This window comes from Homo sapiens, chromosome 8 (assembly GCF_000001405.40).
Source record: "Homo sapiens chromosome 8, GRCh38.p14 Primary Assembly".
In the NCBI taxonomy this organism is placed as follows: domain Eukaryota; kingdom Metazoa; phylum Chordata; class Mammalia; order Primates; family Hominidae; genus Homo; species Homo sapiens.
In genome coordinates, this window is record NC_000008.11 from 96,521,195 (window position 1) to 96,538,129 (window position 16,935).

At 42.0% G+C, this 16,935-nt stretch overlaps 1 protein-coding gene across 3 annotated transcripts in view; it reads left to right on the plus strand.

The window, feature by feature from the left end:
• SDC2 (syndecan 2) overlaps nucleotides 1-16,935 on the plus strand; it is a 117,978-nt gene that overhangs the window by 27,382 nt on the left and 73,661 nt on the right. The window contains exons 1-2 of one of the 3 annotated variants that reach the window (XM_024447228.2): nucleotides 256-8,077; nucleotides 16,106-16,231. The exons of 1 other annotated variant lie outside the window; for it this stretch is intronic. The gene's annotated coding sequence lies outside the window, so the exon portion shown is untranslated. Of the gene's footprint in view, nucleotides 1-255; nucleotides 16,232-16,935 lie in introns of those variants that run through there. One more of the 3 variants, XM_047422076.1, reaches the window with a different exon arrangement.

Genomic DNA, 16,935 nt, shown 5'->3' on the forward strand with positions numbered 1-16,935 from the left:
GCTGAGAGGAAACCAAAAGCATTTTTGAATTATGTGTTAATCACTTCTTATAGACTGTCCAGGGATATTCAGATTTTTCTTTCAAATAACATTTTATTAGTGTGTAAGTCTTAATAAGTGACAGGTAAATAGATCATTCCAGTAGCTACCATGTATGATTCATAAAGGCAGAACAGGCGTCCTGGGAAGGTGTTAGGAGGGAAAGCTCGGATCTAGGGAGACTGCTCTGAAAACAAGGAAGGATGTTTATGGAATGAACTCTTTTGTTCAACCATGGCGATGTCTGGATCAGGGCAGCCTTGGAGGATTTATGGCCTCCAGTCTGGAGAAGGTAGGTGGGCTCGCATTATCTGTGTTGTAAGAAAAGTGTGTGAGGTCTTTGAGCCTAAGGCTGTCCAGGTAACAAAAGACTCTGTCAAAAAAATATGTCTATTTAGAGTTCTTTGAGAGTAATATGTTGCTATTTATTTCACATCTGTGTCGGGTATTGAGCATTTTCCTTGCTTTGCGGTTGTAACAAGATCCTCAGCTTTCTTCCTTTTAAAGGTTGGGGAGCTAATTTCTTGTAGGAAATAACACATTAAATCCAAGCGTATCACTAAAACATGTGTGCCTTCTCTTTTTGCTCAATTAAAAGATTGAGCTGTTCGTGTTTTGTTTGATATGGGGGTACTTATTGAACATTGTCAACCTAAAGCATTTTGAGTAACCAAGAGAAAAATCAGGATGGCCTAATTCACTAAAATTCCAAGTACATTTGGGATGTATTTTTATACTTCTTAATTATGAGATTTTAAATTGCTTTATTTTTAAAGGTTGAGTGTGAGCTGAGTGTGTGTCTTTTTCTGTAGTCCTACCATCCTTTCTGCAAAACTCAAGTGAAAATTATTTATTTAGGATGCCCTATTGAGATATAGTGGAATGTCTTTGTTTGCATTTATTCTTTTTCTGGGATTTTGGTTATATCTATAGCTGTAAATAAAGGGGAAAGGAAGGCTTGGAGTGCATGTTAGGACAAGAGGTCCCAAGTAGGAAAAAAAGTCTTGCCTTAGAGCTATGCCTTGGGAAGTGCTTTTTATTTAGTAACCTAATCAGGACATGCCTGTGTCTATTTATTGTTGGATGAGCTTTTGAAGTACATATTGCCTGAAAGAGAATTTTTCAAGTGGTTACCTATTTTTTTTTTTTTCTCCTCTGGCTGGAGAAAAGTTAGAACAGAAGGGAACGCCGTGTATTATTTTTGTTGTTCTTCACTAAAGACATAGTCTTGGCTACTTCGGAAAAAGAAGGAAGGTATGAAATGGTGGTTAATCCTTTCCTCCATTTTGTCCCCAATTGCTTGCAGTGTCTCTTCACCCTATCGAGAAACACTTTCTCAAAGCTGTCTCTGTACTGTGCTGATATCAGAGGAGTCAACTAAAAGTGATTTTCTCTGTAGACAGTTATTCTAGTTTATGGGATGTATTATAAAACTATTGGGGAAAATCACTGAACTACTAAGGTAAGGGAAATAGCTTAAGGATCTATGATCCATATTTGAAATAGTCATTAAGTTATATAATTGGATTTTTAGAGAACAAGATAGAGCAGTTTCAGGATGTAAGGTGTAAAATAAATCTGGTCCATGAACTGCTTCCAAATTGTCACCCTGACCAGAAGAAGTAACATTCCTCAGGTTGTGGCTTTATCTAGAAAGGGGAAATGGCTATTTCTGGATTAGCTTTATACAAATGAGTGTATTTCCCACCTGCTGCTTTTGCCTAGGGTTGGAATTTTTCCTTTTCACTGCTTGTTACTTGGCGTTTGGATGGAAACGTATCCTCCCTTTCAGAGCCAGAAGATTCTGTGTGAGTCATCAAGAAAAATTTCTCCGAGGAGTTATTAATTCAGTTAGTTGCTCCATAGTAAATGGTTCATGCAACAGTGATAAACCTCTGAATTTGAAATCTTTCTTTAAAATCTTTTTTCCTTCAAAAAATGCATACAGTGGATTGCTGAGCATCTAAAATCCCGCACTGTTCAGCACTGTCATTCTTGGTAATTGCTTTTTAGAGGATTTGGTGGTGTTTTGCTGCTTAAGCTAAACCACGAAGTTAAACTTTTGTACTGTGGAAGTAGTTCATGAATCCTTTAGATTTCTTGGAAGAGGAAAGATGAGTGTGTGGTGAATATATATGAATATCGCATATTTGAATGTGTTACTTACTAGTTTTGGTTGAGCATTAAGGTTGCCCCTAATGGATGGGATCTCTGCCAGGGGTAACTCTTGGAGTCCTAGGTGCTATTGGGGAGGAACCTTTCATTCTCGGCATTCTGGGGGAGATTTACATCTGTAAGCCGGATAAAAATATGTGGAAAGGTGATTAGTTTAATTGGCCCACTATTATAATTATTCAGTAGGAGGTGGCTGTGGGACTGCTATTATAGCCCAAAATGCCTGGTAGGAAGAGGCGGAGACTCATTGAAAACAGCAGCAAGGTTATAAAACGTTGGTTTAAACGTGCATTTAATAACAGATTACCCTGGTGCTTTAAAGACAGAGGAATGCTTAAGTATTTGGTACAAGAATCCATCCAAAAAAAGACGCGGATTTTTTTTCAAAGATAATTGTGGGAAATTCTGCTAATGATTTCTTTTCCCTTAAAATATCATACAGGGGAGTAGGATTTAGGTAGGTGTAAAGTTGCTCAACGTGTTGGTAACTTTAAGATTATTTCTTCTCTGGTTGTTGCCACAGACACTCAGGGTGGCCACAATGGTGGTGTTGTTTTAGGCTTCTTTCAAAAAAGAAGTCCAGTCCAGGATAATGTTGTAAAGTGGAGTATTTTTCTTTCACATCAAAGGGCAAGGAATGTTTTACAGACAGTGAGCTAAGAAGTAGGGCACAGATATTTCAGTACTTGCGTTGGGAAACTATGTGTGGAATGTCATAGTTCATATACCAGAGACCCCGAAGTGAATCCAGGTGCCTGCACGGTGCTGACTTTTCCTGGAGTGAGATGACTGTAGGCAGAAATTGCAGCCAGATGAACCTAAAATAAAATTGATGGCTTTATTGGACATTCTTTTCATGAGATTTAACTTCTTAACGTGCACATACATCACTCTGGGGATGTCATTATCATGGCTGACCTTTCGTTTGGGGGAGCTGCTGCTCGCTGTCTGTGCAGCTCCGATCAGCTTGGCTTTGATTACCACCCACATCTGTTGAGCATGTGAGAGAGAGATTTTGAAAAATCTCAAGCACACTGACAACTGGCTACAAAGATTTAATTAAGACCGGTCAGAACTAATTTCAGTTATATATTCCAGTTTAGGGTATCAACTCCTCTGGTTTCAGAAGGGGGAGTTATGACTTCCTAAAAGTTGTTGTTGAAGGCAGCATGAGGAAATCTCCTTGGGCAAGCAGTGGGTTTCTTTGTCCTAGCTCCCCCACTGCTACCTGGGGTTAATGATTGCAGGGTGGCTGGCGTAATGAACCAGTGCCGGAAAGCTTATTATCAACATGCTGAAGTCATATTTAGAAATCATTCCTCCTCCTTTTTTCTCCTTTCCAATACAAGTCAGAGCACTGCTGTGGTTCCACCTAATAAATACTGCAGGCTTCATTGGGCTGTTCAATGAGACCTAATATAGTATCATTTGTGCACTTTAGTGGGTGGTTCCTATTTATATTTTTGTGTGGTTTACTGCTCAATCTTGGGAAGATGTGGGGTTTGAGGGTTTATCAGTTGCAGTTTTTTGTGGAACCAGTTTGAGTGAGACAAGACTTTGGCCATTATTTGTCGGGTTACATGGATCTCCATATGAGCTATGAAGATACTGGAATAATTGGGTCACAATAATGTAAAATCGTAGTCTGTACTTTCAGCTCATTCCAGAGGAATGATTGGAAGCCCTGCTCTCCCTCTCTTCTGCATGCAAACCTCAGGTGTGATTTCGGCCTGTGCCCAAGTGTTCTTGAAATGTTCAAGGCTGTCCGTTCCCACTCTGTGATGAGGCTTCCGGTTGATGTGTGACATCACTTAGGGCAGGAACTGGCACTGTCTTGATCCTGGCTGTCCTAGAGAAGCTTCTGTGCTTGGCCTTGGGAAGCCACCCCATTTGGTGCTGCTGTAGTCTCCTTTCTGCTCCTCTTTTAACAGCTGCCTCCCACCTGTGCTCACTTCCACCTGCAGGCCTTGTTTTCCAGTGGCACTGGAGTGCCATGCTGAGGTCACTGGACAAGTTCCTTATCAGAGCCCCCTTCCCATTAGAGTGAGGCTGCACCCCATCCTGCCTGGGCTTACTTTGTGCGTTGCTTGGGGGCATGGAGAAGGTTCTTGCCCTTGCTGCTTTATATGAGGTCCAATTCCTCCAGTGTTTGCCATCTCCTTTAGAGCTCTCTGGTGACAAAACCTTCTTCAGCTTGTCTACCCTCCAGGCTGGTGAGTTGAACTCAGACTGGTGCTCGGAAAGGTTAAAGGACTTGTCCAAGATGTTACCTTACTGGCAAACTGCATTCCCAAGTCTTTATTGATCTCCGAGGGCATCTCTTAATTTGTTGGAGTTTTCTTTTCCTGGAAAAAATACTGCTTGGGTCTCAGTTTCTCCACATATAAAATCAGAATAAGACCATAAATTCATGTAGTTGAAAGGGGCGGTTTCAGGAAGAAAACTAAGATAATGAAAGCCTCCGGAAAAGGGTCTGGGACGACATTATTTACAGAGTACTTTCCACACATTGTCAGGGTGGGGCCGCACAGGAACCTTGTGGGGTAGGCATCATTGACCTGTTTCAAAAATGAACAAAGTCAGTCCCAGAGACCTTGAATGGAGGCTTATCAAAGCTAAGCATACGGCTTCAAGTTTAACCGTCAAATGGTAGAGTTAGTCATGGCTTTTGGATGTGCGGGCCAGGCATGGTGCAGGGCCAGGTATGTTTTAGCCTTGTGGTTCTTTTCCTGATATTTCGGTCCTGTGGGCCTCCCCAAAGTGGCTTTGCACCTATGTTTGTTATGGGCATAAGGAAGTTAGAATTCTATGAATATGTACTGATTTTTTGTGATTCTGAATTTAAATAGGCCTCTATAAAGCTAATACTTGAAGTTTTGTTGTAATGAAGCATCACAAATACTTTTACATAGGAAAAAGGACCAAGCTGATCTCCTTAAAGCGGTTGCAAAAACCACCCAGTTGTTATACGATTGTTTGTTTCATGTTTCTTGTTATGTGGCATATTTCCAGTAAGTGGAGGGACCAAATATTTTATAGTTACAGAAACTTCTTCTCTCCCTCCTTGAAGTTTAAAAAAGTGGATCAAATGTCTGCCTATTTTCAAGGAGGCAGGGAGACAGAAGATCTTTTCCAGATTGCAGGAAGGCCAACGCAGGTTGCACCCAGAGAACTATGGAAACCACTGTTGAGGAGGAAGGAATTGGGTGAAAATTAAAGAATCAAGCTAGTAAAAGTGAAAAGAGGCCTTTGGTTTTTTTTTTTGGACAGTTTTTAAGGGCCTTCATAAATACTTGGTGTACTCCTCAAAGACCAAGCGTTGAAGGGTTAAGTCAGGGAACTAAAACTTGGATTGTGTGTTGACCCCTGTGTAGCTGTGGCCAGGGCTCCTGATTTTCCCCTGACGATCCATTGGTAGAACAAGGCCAGTGGTACTGTTTTCTGGTGCAGGGGAGGCTCGGACCTGCAGGGGAGTTACGGAGGCTGGCCACTGGTTTGGAGCAGACAGGTAAGTAGCCTCTAGGGAGGTGGTAGCTCTGTACAACAGTCTGTTCCCAATGTCTGGGTGACTCTTGTTCCCAATACTTGGCTCTCTTTTTGGATGTCAGAGTCATATTCTTCATTCTCCATGTCTCCTGCTAATTTTTGGCATTGACCCATCCAGGATTTATTTCAGCAGCTAGCATGGTGCCTGACCTATCCATAGTAGGTGCTTAGTAAATACTGCACTCCACAGGGGGAAGAGGGCAGGCACGTTCTGCCTATTGACGTGGTGGGAAGAGAGACCGTGCTTAGGGACAGGTTTGGGAGCTTCATTATTTCTGCCTTGGGACTGTTTGAATGCACCCTATTTTGCTATAGGGGAAACACTGCAATAACATAAATCCCACTTGAATCATTCTTTGTTCTATCACCCCTGCCCTTATCACTGCTCTTGTAAGACAGACATCATAGGAGACTCCTAATCCTCTCCCTGCCTCTGGTGGGTGCATGACACTGATCTAGCTTCCACTTGCACAGTTCTCTCTCTCTCTGCCCCTAAAACAGAAATATGATCATGTTATTCTCCTACTTACATGCCCGTCAGTGGCTCCCCAGTGCCGTACTGCTGTGGCACACAGAACCCTACGTGATCTGGTCCTGCGTGCTCTGTAAGTGGCAAGTCCCAGGGCCTCTTCGTGCAGGCTGTTCAAGGGGGTCTCATAACCTACCAGTCCGAGTTAGACTTGTTGAGTCTTAAAACCAAGCTGCTTTGAGTTGGGTCTTCAGATGAACTGGGAATCAACATATTTGGGATGGATCTGTAGGGTGCATTTAAAAGGCACTGAATGTTTGGAATGGAGTGCAAGAATTAATGTTAAGTTACCAGAGAAAATTGAGGTATTAAGGGATCTGCGCATATAGTTTTCAAAAATCAATTAAACAAAAAGCCTGTTTTTTAACTGATTCTATAGTTCATTTGGAAGACTATGTATATTACATTATATCATATATCTACATGTGTGATATATTTATAATAGAAAAATGAAGCAGAAACTTCTACTACCAAATATTAAAACACATTATAAAGTGCTGATAAAAGATGATGATGTGGGCATAAAAACATGCAAATAATCCAACAAAATAGCACTTTTCAAAACTTTTTTTAGCGTATGGAATAACTTAATTATAAGTCGTTGGGGAAGGAACAGATTATTTGATGAAGGGGGTTGTGAAATTGGGTATTTTAAAAAATCTATTTATATCTTTGCTTTGGTGACACACCAAAATATCTTTCATACGGATTGGATTTAAGTATATATATTTAAAGCTCTAAGCGAGAAAAAAAATGTGGAGAAAATTTGATCTCTGAGAAAGAGGATTTTTTTTAAGCCTAAAAGCCAAAAACTCTAAGTGATTGCTCAACTTAAGTACATAACAGTATTCATTTTACTGAAGAATTACAAATAACTAATAATGATCACTAGAACAGAAAAATGTCAAAAGAAAAAACACACGGTATTCATTGTCCTCTCATAAAATTAAGAAAGATTTAGAAAATGCAAATACTCAGTGCTCATAACAATATGGTTAGATTTTCAACACTTTCTAAAAGGAAAAATGTTAAAATAAATTCCAAAGAAAAAATTTTTTAAATGGTTTGGTTTTTACATATACTGGGGAAACTTACTATTTAAAGACTAGAGTTAATTATTTCAAAATAAAAATAGTCTTTCTAATTTTAGTTTCATAATGTTGTTTTTTAATCTTTGTTTGATTTTAAACAACCTTTTAGTCTTTGGGCTGTCCAAAATTATAAATTATATGTCTGTAATTTACTATTGTTAATCATACAGTTCTCCATATAAAAAATGGCAGAGAGAAAAACTGGAAAAATATGCCCTGTGAAGGGGATTTATGATCCTTAATATCCCAGAAGAAGACCATAATGAGGCATCTTATGTAACAGAGAAGTCATATAGGGCTTCAGTTTCTAAAGTGCTCAAATTTTAATTCATAGTGTGACTTTGAACAGGCTACTTTACCTCTCTTGGTCTCAGTGTCTTCATCTGTGAAATGGGAGGGTTGGGTTAGATCAGTTTCCCAGCTGAGATGCCCCGGCACAGCTGTGCCAAAATTCTGATGCCCCTCGGCCCTAAAGACAGCTGGACAGAGCTGGGGTGGAGGCCCTAGGTCAGTTACTTCCACCCAAGGGCAGCCATTTGTTTTTCCCAAGGAAAATAGTACCACAAATCACTCTCAATGCACTCTTAGATAATGAGTTGTCTTACTTTTAAATTCAAGAGGTGAGAGCTACATGGAAGAGGAGATAATTTTGGACATCACAGTGAACCATTCGTCCTTCCCAGTCAATATTCAATAGGTATGTTAAAAAATGAATGGAAGAAAACACATCAAAATGTTATTAGTAATTATCTCTGGTGATTGACTTACAGGTAATTTTTATTTGCTTATTTATAATATTCCGCCTCATTCAAATTTACTGTTAAGAATTTGTTAAATTTAAATAAGAAAAGTTATTTAAAACAAATCCCAACCTGTACCCATTTTTACATTTAAAAACTCCATGAGTACGAGTGACGGCTATGGCTGTCAGAGTTAAGAATCTAACAAAAATAAAACGGCAAACATGGACCCATTTCACATTATGGAAATATCCTGGGATATTTTCATTCCAAGGTTTCTTGCTCAGTGCTTACTTTCAAGGCTGGTTTCAGGTGTGAGGAAGAAGCTTTGAGCAGAAGGCCTGTTTGTAGAGTGAGTGAGTAGCCTTCTTACTTGGGGCAGCTGACCCCAAAGGTCTTCCTCTCCATCTCCCTCCTTCAGTGCTTTCTTCCCTTATTTTTCCCCTTCCCTGTGACCCCTGAATTGCTGATAATTCCTTTCCTTCTTTGTTCTTCTCAATCCCTGGTGTGTATATGGTTAGAAGTTCCGGTGCCCACTTAGCTGAGCCACAGAGATTCCATTTTTAACTGGTCCCTCATATGCCAGCCCATCTAGTTCCTCAGGCATTACCGCCTTCCCTCTCCCAGCTTTATTCTGCTTATTTACATCTTTCTGGGAATGATGTGCTTCAAACTTTCCAACCTATTAGTTTAAACCAGATTTAGTGGCAGGGGCGGGGGGAAGTAGACTTTCTCTGCCCTTTGGTTTTGCTTTACTTTGAGATAAACACTATATACATTAAAGGTGCTTAAATGATGTTTTCTCTGACTTCCTAAAGGGGTTACTTTTCATTGACTCCTAACATTTTAATTCTCTGATTGTGATTGTTTTGTCTAAATCATGGGGTGGAGTGCATGTGGGGAATTAGAAAACTAATTGTCATTATAACCTTTCAGCAGAATTTTGGAATGATTAATAGCTATGTTAATATGCCATAACATAATTACTTATAAAAATCAGAATATACCACCACCTTGTTAGTATTAAAATGGTGCTAGGCTGGGCGCGGTGGCTCACGCCTGTAATCCCAGCACTTTGGGAGGCCCAGGCAGGTGCATCACCTGAGATCAGGAGTTCGAGATCAGCCTGGCCAACATGGTGAAACCCCGTCTCTACTAAAAATATAAAAATTAGCTGGACGTGTTAGCGGGTGCCTGTAATCCCAGCTACTTGGGAGGCTGAGGCAGGAGAATTTCTGGAACCCAGGAGGCAGAGGTTGCAGTGAGCTGTGATCGTACCATTGCACTCTGGCCTGGGAGACAGAGTAAAACTCTGTCTAAAACAAAACAAAACGAAACAAAAAAACCTGCTAAAATATAAGTTACTTTCTTTATATAACATTTTAGGACCTTACAGTGTACCTTAACTTTCTGAGCATAGATAACAAATGAAGATAATAAGAAATATTGTTTTATATTGTTTATAAAGCACTGTGCCCTACATTGCAGTTTATAGAACCACATAACAGTTGGCCATGGGCAGTATCTCAGGAAGCCTTAAAATCTCGGGAAGACTGACAGAATGGCGGAGCTAAGATGGACCTCAGGGTCATCTAATCCAGTGTTTCCCAACCATTTTCACATCATGGCACACATTGAAAAGGTGCACAGCACACCCTGGGGAAATAAATGACTGCTCTTGGCTGGAGGTAGTGGATCTGAGGACTCCAGCCTAGGCTGTGTCCAGCTCCCCTGAGGGCTGATGGGCATCAGAACCTTGGCGCAGCTGTCCTGGGGCATTCCAGTTGGGAACTGTGATCTAACCCAACCCTGCCATTTTACAGATGAGACACATCTGCATTTACATATCGAGACCCAGAGAGGTAAAGTAGATTGTTCAAGGTTACACAGTGAATTAGTGACATTATGATAAATAGAATTTGAGCATTTCAGAAACTGGAGTTTAATATAACTTCTCTTTTACATTGCATGCCTCATTATGTTGTTCTTACAGTACATTAGAACTTTTATAGGGCACGTTTTTCCAAAAGGTTTACCTCTGCCATATTGTATATGGAGAAGTATGATTAATATTAGTAAATTATAGATATATCTCTTTTGGACAACCTAAAGAATAAAAGGCTCTTTTAAACCCCAAATTCAAGTTAAAAATTAAGATTACGATGCTAAAAATAGTCTAACATATGTAAAAATGATTTAAAAAATTTTATTTACACAAAGAATGTACTCAGGCTATGAAACTTGTATGCTGGCAGTTGCCTCACTTTAAAAAATAAAAGAGAGAAAAGTAAGATGGAAAAGAAAATTAAAATTGTAAACATTTTAATGACTCACCACTACCTCCATCCTTAGATTTCTTTGCCATCAACTATTTAAACCCTTTAAGAATATTAGGAAACCGTGGTTACTTGGCGTGGTTTTATAAATCTGTTCTGGTAATCTCTAAATTCTCCTTCAACCCCATGATGATTCACTGATTCTAGTGTAATGAGGGCTTGGTTCAGCCTTACATATATTTATGTGTGTGTCAACCAAGATGTACATGGGAACATGGCATCTCATCTTCAGTTCTTTGTCTGAACCACAAAATTTATGTGCCAATTCAGGACAGTTTATGGCGCTAGGTTTGTAACATCAGAGTGACTTGTTCCACCATGACCTCAAGATGGTAGCTGTAGACTAGCGACACCTTCCATTAACAGCTGGTTGACCTTGGAGAAGTTCTATAATCTCTTTTTTTGCCTCTGTTTTTTCATCTGTGAAGTGAAGGACAGGCTGCCTACCTGCTAGGATTGTTATATGGATTAAATGCATTAGTTAGTGCAAAGTCTTGAACAACACCCAGTGCACACAGAAATAAATATGATAAATAAGTACAGTGAATGTGGGCCGTTTTCATCACCATTATTAGTAATAGCTGCCATGAGTTGTCATTGAACAGGGAGCAGTAAGGGGGCCTCCAGGTATAAACAAGACCCACCCTGCTTTGTCAGTCTCAGGTTTTATAAAAATAGTCGCTGCCTAACTGAGTTCTTGGGGCACTAAGGAATAGGATTATTATTACCAGATGCCCCTGAGTCTCTCTGCTTATTGAGGCGTTTTTTTTTTTTTTTTTTTTTTTGGTAGGGCTTTGTTTGGGAAAAAAAAGAAAGAAAATCTACCTCCAGGGACATGGGTAAAATATTTTTTCCCTTAGTTAACGTTAAATTCCAGTCATTCTTTTGCAGAAGTGTTGTGGAACAGAAGGGAGGGGTAAAGATTCCAACTTTAGACATTAGACTAAGAATGCATGTAATGAGTACCCAGACAGCATGACACTTTTTCAGTTATCACTGCCACCCCCATCCCCCCAAAAAAACACACTGTGAGGGAAAGAGCAAGAGCTGTGAACTCAGACAGGCTGAGTGCAGCCCCTAGCCCGCACTTAATGGCTGAGTACATCCGGGCTATGCATTCACCTTCTCTGATGGGTCTTCTAGGTTGGAGTCATCTTCTAGAGGTGCTGTAAGCTGGTGTAAGAGACTAGCAAAGTGCCAGCAGCATAGGCCCTGTGCCCTAAATGGGCCCACATTTTTCTGAGTTCATCTTTGCTAAAGGGATTTTTTTTCTTAAGTACATACTGTATCCAGAATTGGTGGGTTCTTGGTCTCACCAACTTCAAGAATGAAGCCGCAGACCCTTGCGGTGAATGTTGTAGTTCTTAAAGGCAGCGTGTCCAGAGTTTGTTCCTTCTGATGTTTAGATGTGTTTGGAGTTTTTTCCTTCTGGTGGGTGCTTGGTCTCGCTGGCTTCAGGAGTGAAGCTGCAGACCTTCGTGGTGAGTGTTACAGCTCATAAAGGTGGTGTGGACCCAAAGAGTGAGCAGTAGCAAGATTTACTGCAAAGAGCAAAAGAACAAAGCTTCCACAGTGTGGAAGGGGGACCCGAGCAGGTTCCCACTGCTGGCTTGGGCAGCTTGCTTTTATTCTCTTATCTGGCCCCACCCACATCCTGTTGATTGGTCCATTTTACAGAAAGCTGATTGGTCTGTTTTATAGAGAGCTGATTGGTCTGTTTTGACAGGGTGCTGATTGGTGCGTTTACAATCCCTGAGCTAGACACAAAAATTCTCTATGTCCTCACTAGATTAGCTAGACACAGAGCACTGATTGGTGCATTTGCAAACCTTGAGCTAGACACAGGGTGCTGATTGGTGTATTTACAATCTCTTAGCTAGACGTAAAGGTTCTCCAAGTCCCCACCAGATTAGCTAGACACAGAGTGCTGATTGGTGCATTCACAGACTCTGAGCTAGACACAGAGTGCTGATTGGGGCATTTACAAACCTTGAGCTAGACACAGAGTGCTGATTGGGGCATTTACAAACCTTGAGCTAGACACAGAGTGCTGATTGGTGTATCTGCAATCCCTTAGCTAGACATAAAGGTTCTCCAAGTCCCCACTAGACTCAGGAGCCCAGCTGGCTTCACCCAATGGATCCTGCACTGGGGCCACAGGTGGAGCTGCCTGCCAGTCCTGCTCGGTGTGCCCGCACTCCTCAGCCCTTGGGCAGTAGATGGGACCAGGTGCCATGGAGCAGGGGGCGGCGCTCGTTGGGGAGGCTTGGGCATGGCGGGCTGCAGGTCCTGAGCCCTGCCCCGCGGGGAGGCAGCTGAGGTCCGGTGAGAATTCGAGTGCAGTGCCGGCGGGCCAGCACTGCTGGGGGACCCAGTGCACCCTCCGCTGCTGCTGGCCCGGGTGTTAAGCCCCTCACTGCCCGGGGCCGGCGGTGCCCACTGGCCGCTCAGAGTGCGGGGCCTGCCGAGCCCACGCCCACCTGGAACTCACTCTGACCTGCAAGCGCCGTGCGCAGCCCCGGTTCCTGCCTGTGTTTCTCCCTCCACACCTCCCTGCAAGCTGAGGGAGCTGGCCCCAGCCTCGGCTAGCCCAGAAGGGGGCCCCCACAGTGCAGTGGTGGGCTGAAGGGCCCACCTCTCGAACGTGGCCAGAGCGGACGCTGAGGCTGAGGAGGTGCTGAGAGCAAGTGAGGGATGCGAGGGCTGCCAGCACGCTGTCACCTCTCAATACTTTAGGCAATTTCTTGTGGTGGCACATTTGAGACTGTTTCATGCCAGTGGCTTTTCCATTTTCCTTTCTTTTTTTGAGACTCTTGCTCTGTTGCCTAGGCTGGAGTACAGTGATGCGATGATAACTCACTGTAACTTCAAACTCCAGGGCTCAAGCGATCCTCCCACCTCAGCCTCCTGAGTAGCCAAGACTATAGGCGCATACCACCATACCTGGCTATTTTTTTTTTATTTTTTGTAGAGACGAGGGCTCGTCATGTTGCCCAGGCTGATCTCAAACTCCTGGACTCAGCCAGTCTTCCTACCTCGGCCTCCAAGAGTGCTGGGATTCCAGGCATGAGCCACTGTGCCTGGCTGGCCTTTTCACTTTCTATTAATGGTTCTCGGGGTCATCTCCCGCTGCCCTTCTCCCCCAGGAATATTTTAGCAGCATTCTAAGTTATTTCAGCTCCTTCAGTTTTGTTGCTCATATCTTTGCTACCCTTGCTCACCATTACAATTCAAAGCCTCACTGTTCTTGCTTTCTCACTGATGGGTTAACCTTTTTTTCTTCTATCACAAATAGGGTTGCTAGATAAAATATTGGGCACCCAGTTAAGATGGAATTTCAGATAAATGCCAAACAATTTTTTTTTTTTTTCGAGTCAGAGTCTCCCTCTCTAGCCCAGGCTGGAGTGCAATGGTGCGATCTTGGCTCACTGCAACCTCCGCCTCCCAGGTCCCAGTTCAAGCAATTCTCCTGCGTCAGCCTCCGAGTAGCTGGGATTACAGGCATGTGCCACCACGCCCAGCTAATTTTTGTATTTTTAGTAGAGATGGGGTTTCACCATGTTGGCCAGGCTGGTCTTAGACTTCTGACATCATGATTCGCCCGCCTTGGCCTCCCAAAGTGCCGGGATTACAGGTGTGAGCCACTGTGCCCGGCCCCAAATAATTTTTTAGCCTAAGTGTGGCCCATCCACTATTTGGGACATACTTAAACTAAAAATTATTTGTTTATCTGGAATTCAGATTTAACAGAGCATCCTGTATTTTTAAGTCTGGCCACTCTACAAATATCTGTACCAATTCTCCCATTACAACTTTTTACCCACACGGCAGCATGTTTTGGCCAAGAGGAATAAAAGAGGCTTCTCAGATATTTCCTAAGGCCCTGTTTTGACGAACTTAAAGAGAAAATGCCGACAGGTTAATAGGAGATTCTGACAACGAAGAGGAATTCCTGTGATTTTAGGGGTAGAGATATATATCGACTTCGATTTGGGAGATCACTTGGTAAATGTGAGGTGTCTGTATTTTGGGCTGAATGTCAACTCTGGAAGTAGGTAAAAGTTAAGTTTTATATCCACATGCTATTCCACCTCCGTTCAAAACTTAGAAAAATATTGTCTTCCATACCTAATTCACAGTCCTAATGATCAGGTATTAGCTGAACAGAACAAAGAAGCCTGCCTTAGAGGATGTTGTGAATGGGTTTTGGGGATGGAGACTTGAGACACAATATAAAAAGATGGTCAGACCAGTTAAGTATGACATGAGGCAGTTTTATGAAACGTAAAAATGGCTTTTTCATGCAGCTCAGAGGCATGGATATAGAAAGGGAAAAACCAAAAAGAAATGATTTGTGTATGTCAGCCCACTAACATTTTTGGAAATGTGCCTGAGGACTACCGAAGTAATCAGATGACATGGACTTGCCCCTTGAGGAATTTAATTTATGGGTGAGAAATTTGAAAAGAAAGTGGCTTATCCTAGCTTTTCTTTTTTTTTTTTTCCTTTTGTTTCTTCCAAAAATTTTCTCCCAAGGGACAGAAGTGGGTCTGCCACAGCTATGGATAGGAATAACCAAGTGAAGGGAGGCAGTGACGTGGGTACTTCCACATAGAGGCTGCACTCTGATGATTCAGGAATATTTCTTGAGTACCCTTTTATTTTATTTTATTTTATTTTATTATTTTGAGACAGGGTCTTGCTCTGTTGCCCAGGCTGGACTGCAGTAGTGCGACCTTTGCTCACTGTAGCCTCAACCTCTATGGCCCAAGGGATCCTCCCACCTCAGCCTCAACAAGTAGCTGAGACTACAGGTGTGTGCCACCATGCCTGGCTAATTTTTCTAATTTTTGTAGATACGGGGTTTCACCATGTTGCCTAGGCCAATCTCCAACTCCTGGACTCAAGCAGTCCCCCTCCCTTGGCCTCCCAAAGTGCTGGGATTACAGGCATGAGCCACTGAGTTGAGTACCTTTTAGGTGGATTGTCATCATATTTGAGTGCCTAGCATGGTGTTAGGTGCTGGGGATGTAGCAACAGTCAGCAAGGGCAGAGTCTCAGTCAGCTCTGTAGAGCTTGTGTGCTGTCATCATAGGTACTTTGAGAAATGCAAAGGTAGACCAGGTAGGATAGGGAATTCTGGCCTCTAGGAGCTTCCTTAGGGTTGATTACCTATGCTTTTCCTTCTGTGGCAATTGGAGACTCAGTCTGCTGTTGGCCAGAATACTGGATAACTGGCAGGTAACTCTGCATTGTTAGGAAGGCTGATCAGACTTCAGGTCCCCCATTGAGGAGTTTTACATCTGAATCTTCAGCAGCTGGTCTAAACTGACAATGGCAGGCTTCAGTAAAATCAGCCATTCAATTTATCTATATTATAAAATGATGAAGGCATGCTCCATCTGGTATCAGATAGAGTACCTTCTAATATTGGTGCATTATCAGTACCTTTGTGTGTAGGGGGTCTGCTGTAATGAAAAACAGTAGAGCTCGATTCATCCTAATTACATTTTGAGCAATTTTAGGGGGCTGAAAAGATTGTACTGTGACAATAAGGTTTTTCCTTCTTACCAAAAGAATTTATAAATGGTACAGAAAATGAAAGATGGCTAGTGGTTTTAGCAGTTCTAATGTTTTTTCTTTTTTTAGATAAGGAAAAAAACCCCACTCTGATTCTAAAACCCGCTGGAATTTGAACTGTTGCCTGTGTTCTGAAAGTGTCTTGAATTGCTTGGGATCCCAAGCCTGAAGTTTACAGCATCTCATGGTGTCCAGGTATCCAAGAGGAGTCATAAAGTTCTCCGAAAATTGTGAAAACCATATACTTAAGGGACCACACGCATGCAGTGGAGTATTCTTCGATGGCAGCATTTTCTTTTGCGGGAAATAGCAAATCAGGCAGTAATGAGGTGTAAGGTCAGAAAAACTGCATAGAAATCAATGACTAGGTGTTCAGAGAAGTTAAAAGAAATTAATAATTTTTCTTCTGTATGATTTTTGCTTTGGGATATTTTGGTTATTTTTTACTGGTTTCGGATGCTATTTTAATGAGTATTTTGTTTATATTTTGTAGGCCCATGAATATGAAGGATAACTTAGATTTTAAAAGTTCTTTCTTCTATTCCCCAAGGGCTGATGGACTTAAAAATACCTGTCAGTTGAGCCTTCAAAATCTTTTTATTGACAAGTGACTCCTGACTTCAGGCCTAATTGGTTCCTGAATGTTTAGTCTTGGGGCATGGTCATAACACAAACTCTTACTTCCTGCAGGCTGTGTTATCTGTAAAGCTTATGTTTTGTTTTTTGTTTGTTTGTTTGTTTGTTTGTTTTTGAGACGGAGTCTCGCTCTGTCGCCAGGCTGGAGTGCAGTAGTGCAATCTCGGCTCACTGCAACCTCCACATCCCAGGTTCAAGCTATTCTCCTGCCTCAGCCTCCTGAGTAGCTGGGATTACAGGCGCACACCACCACGCCCGGCTAA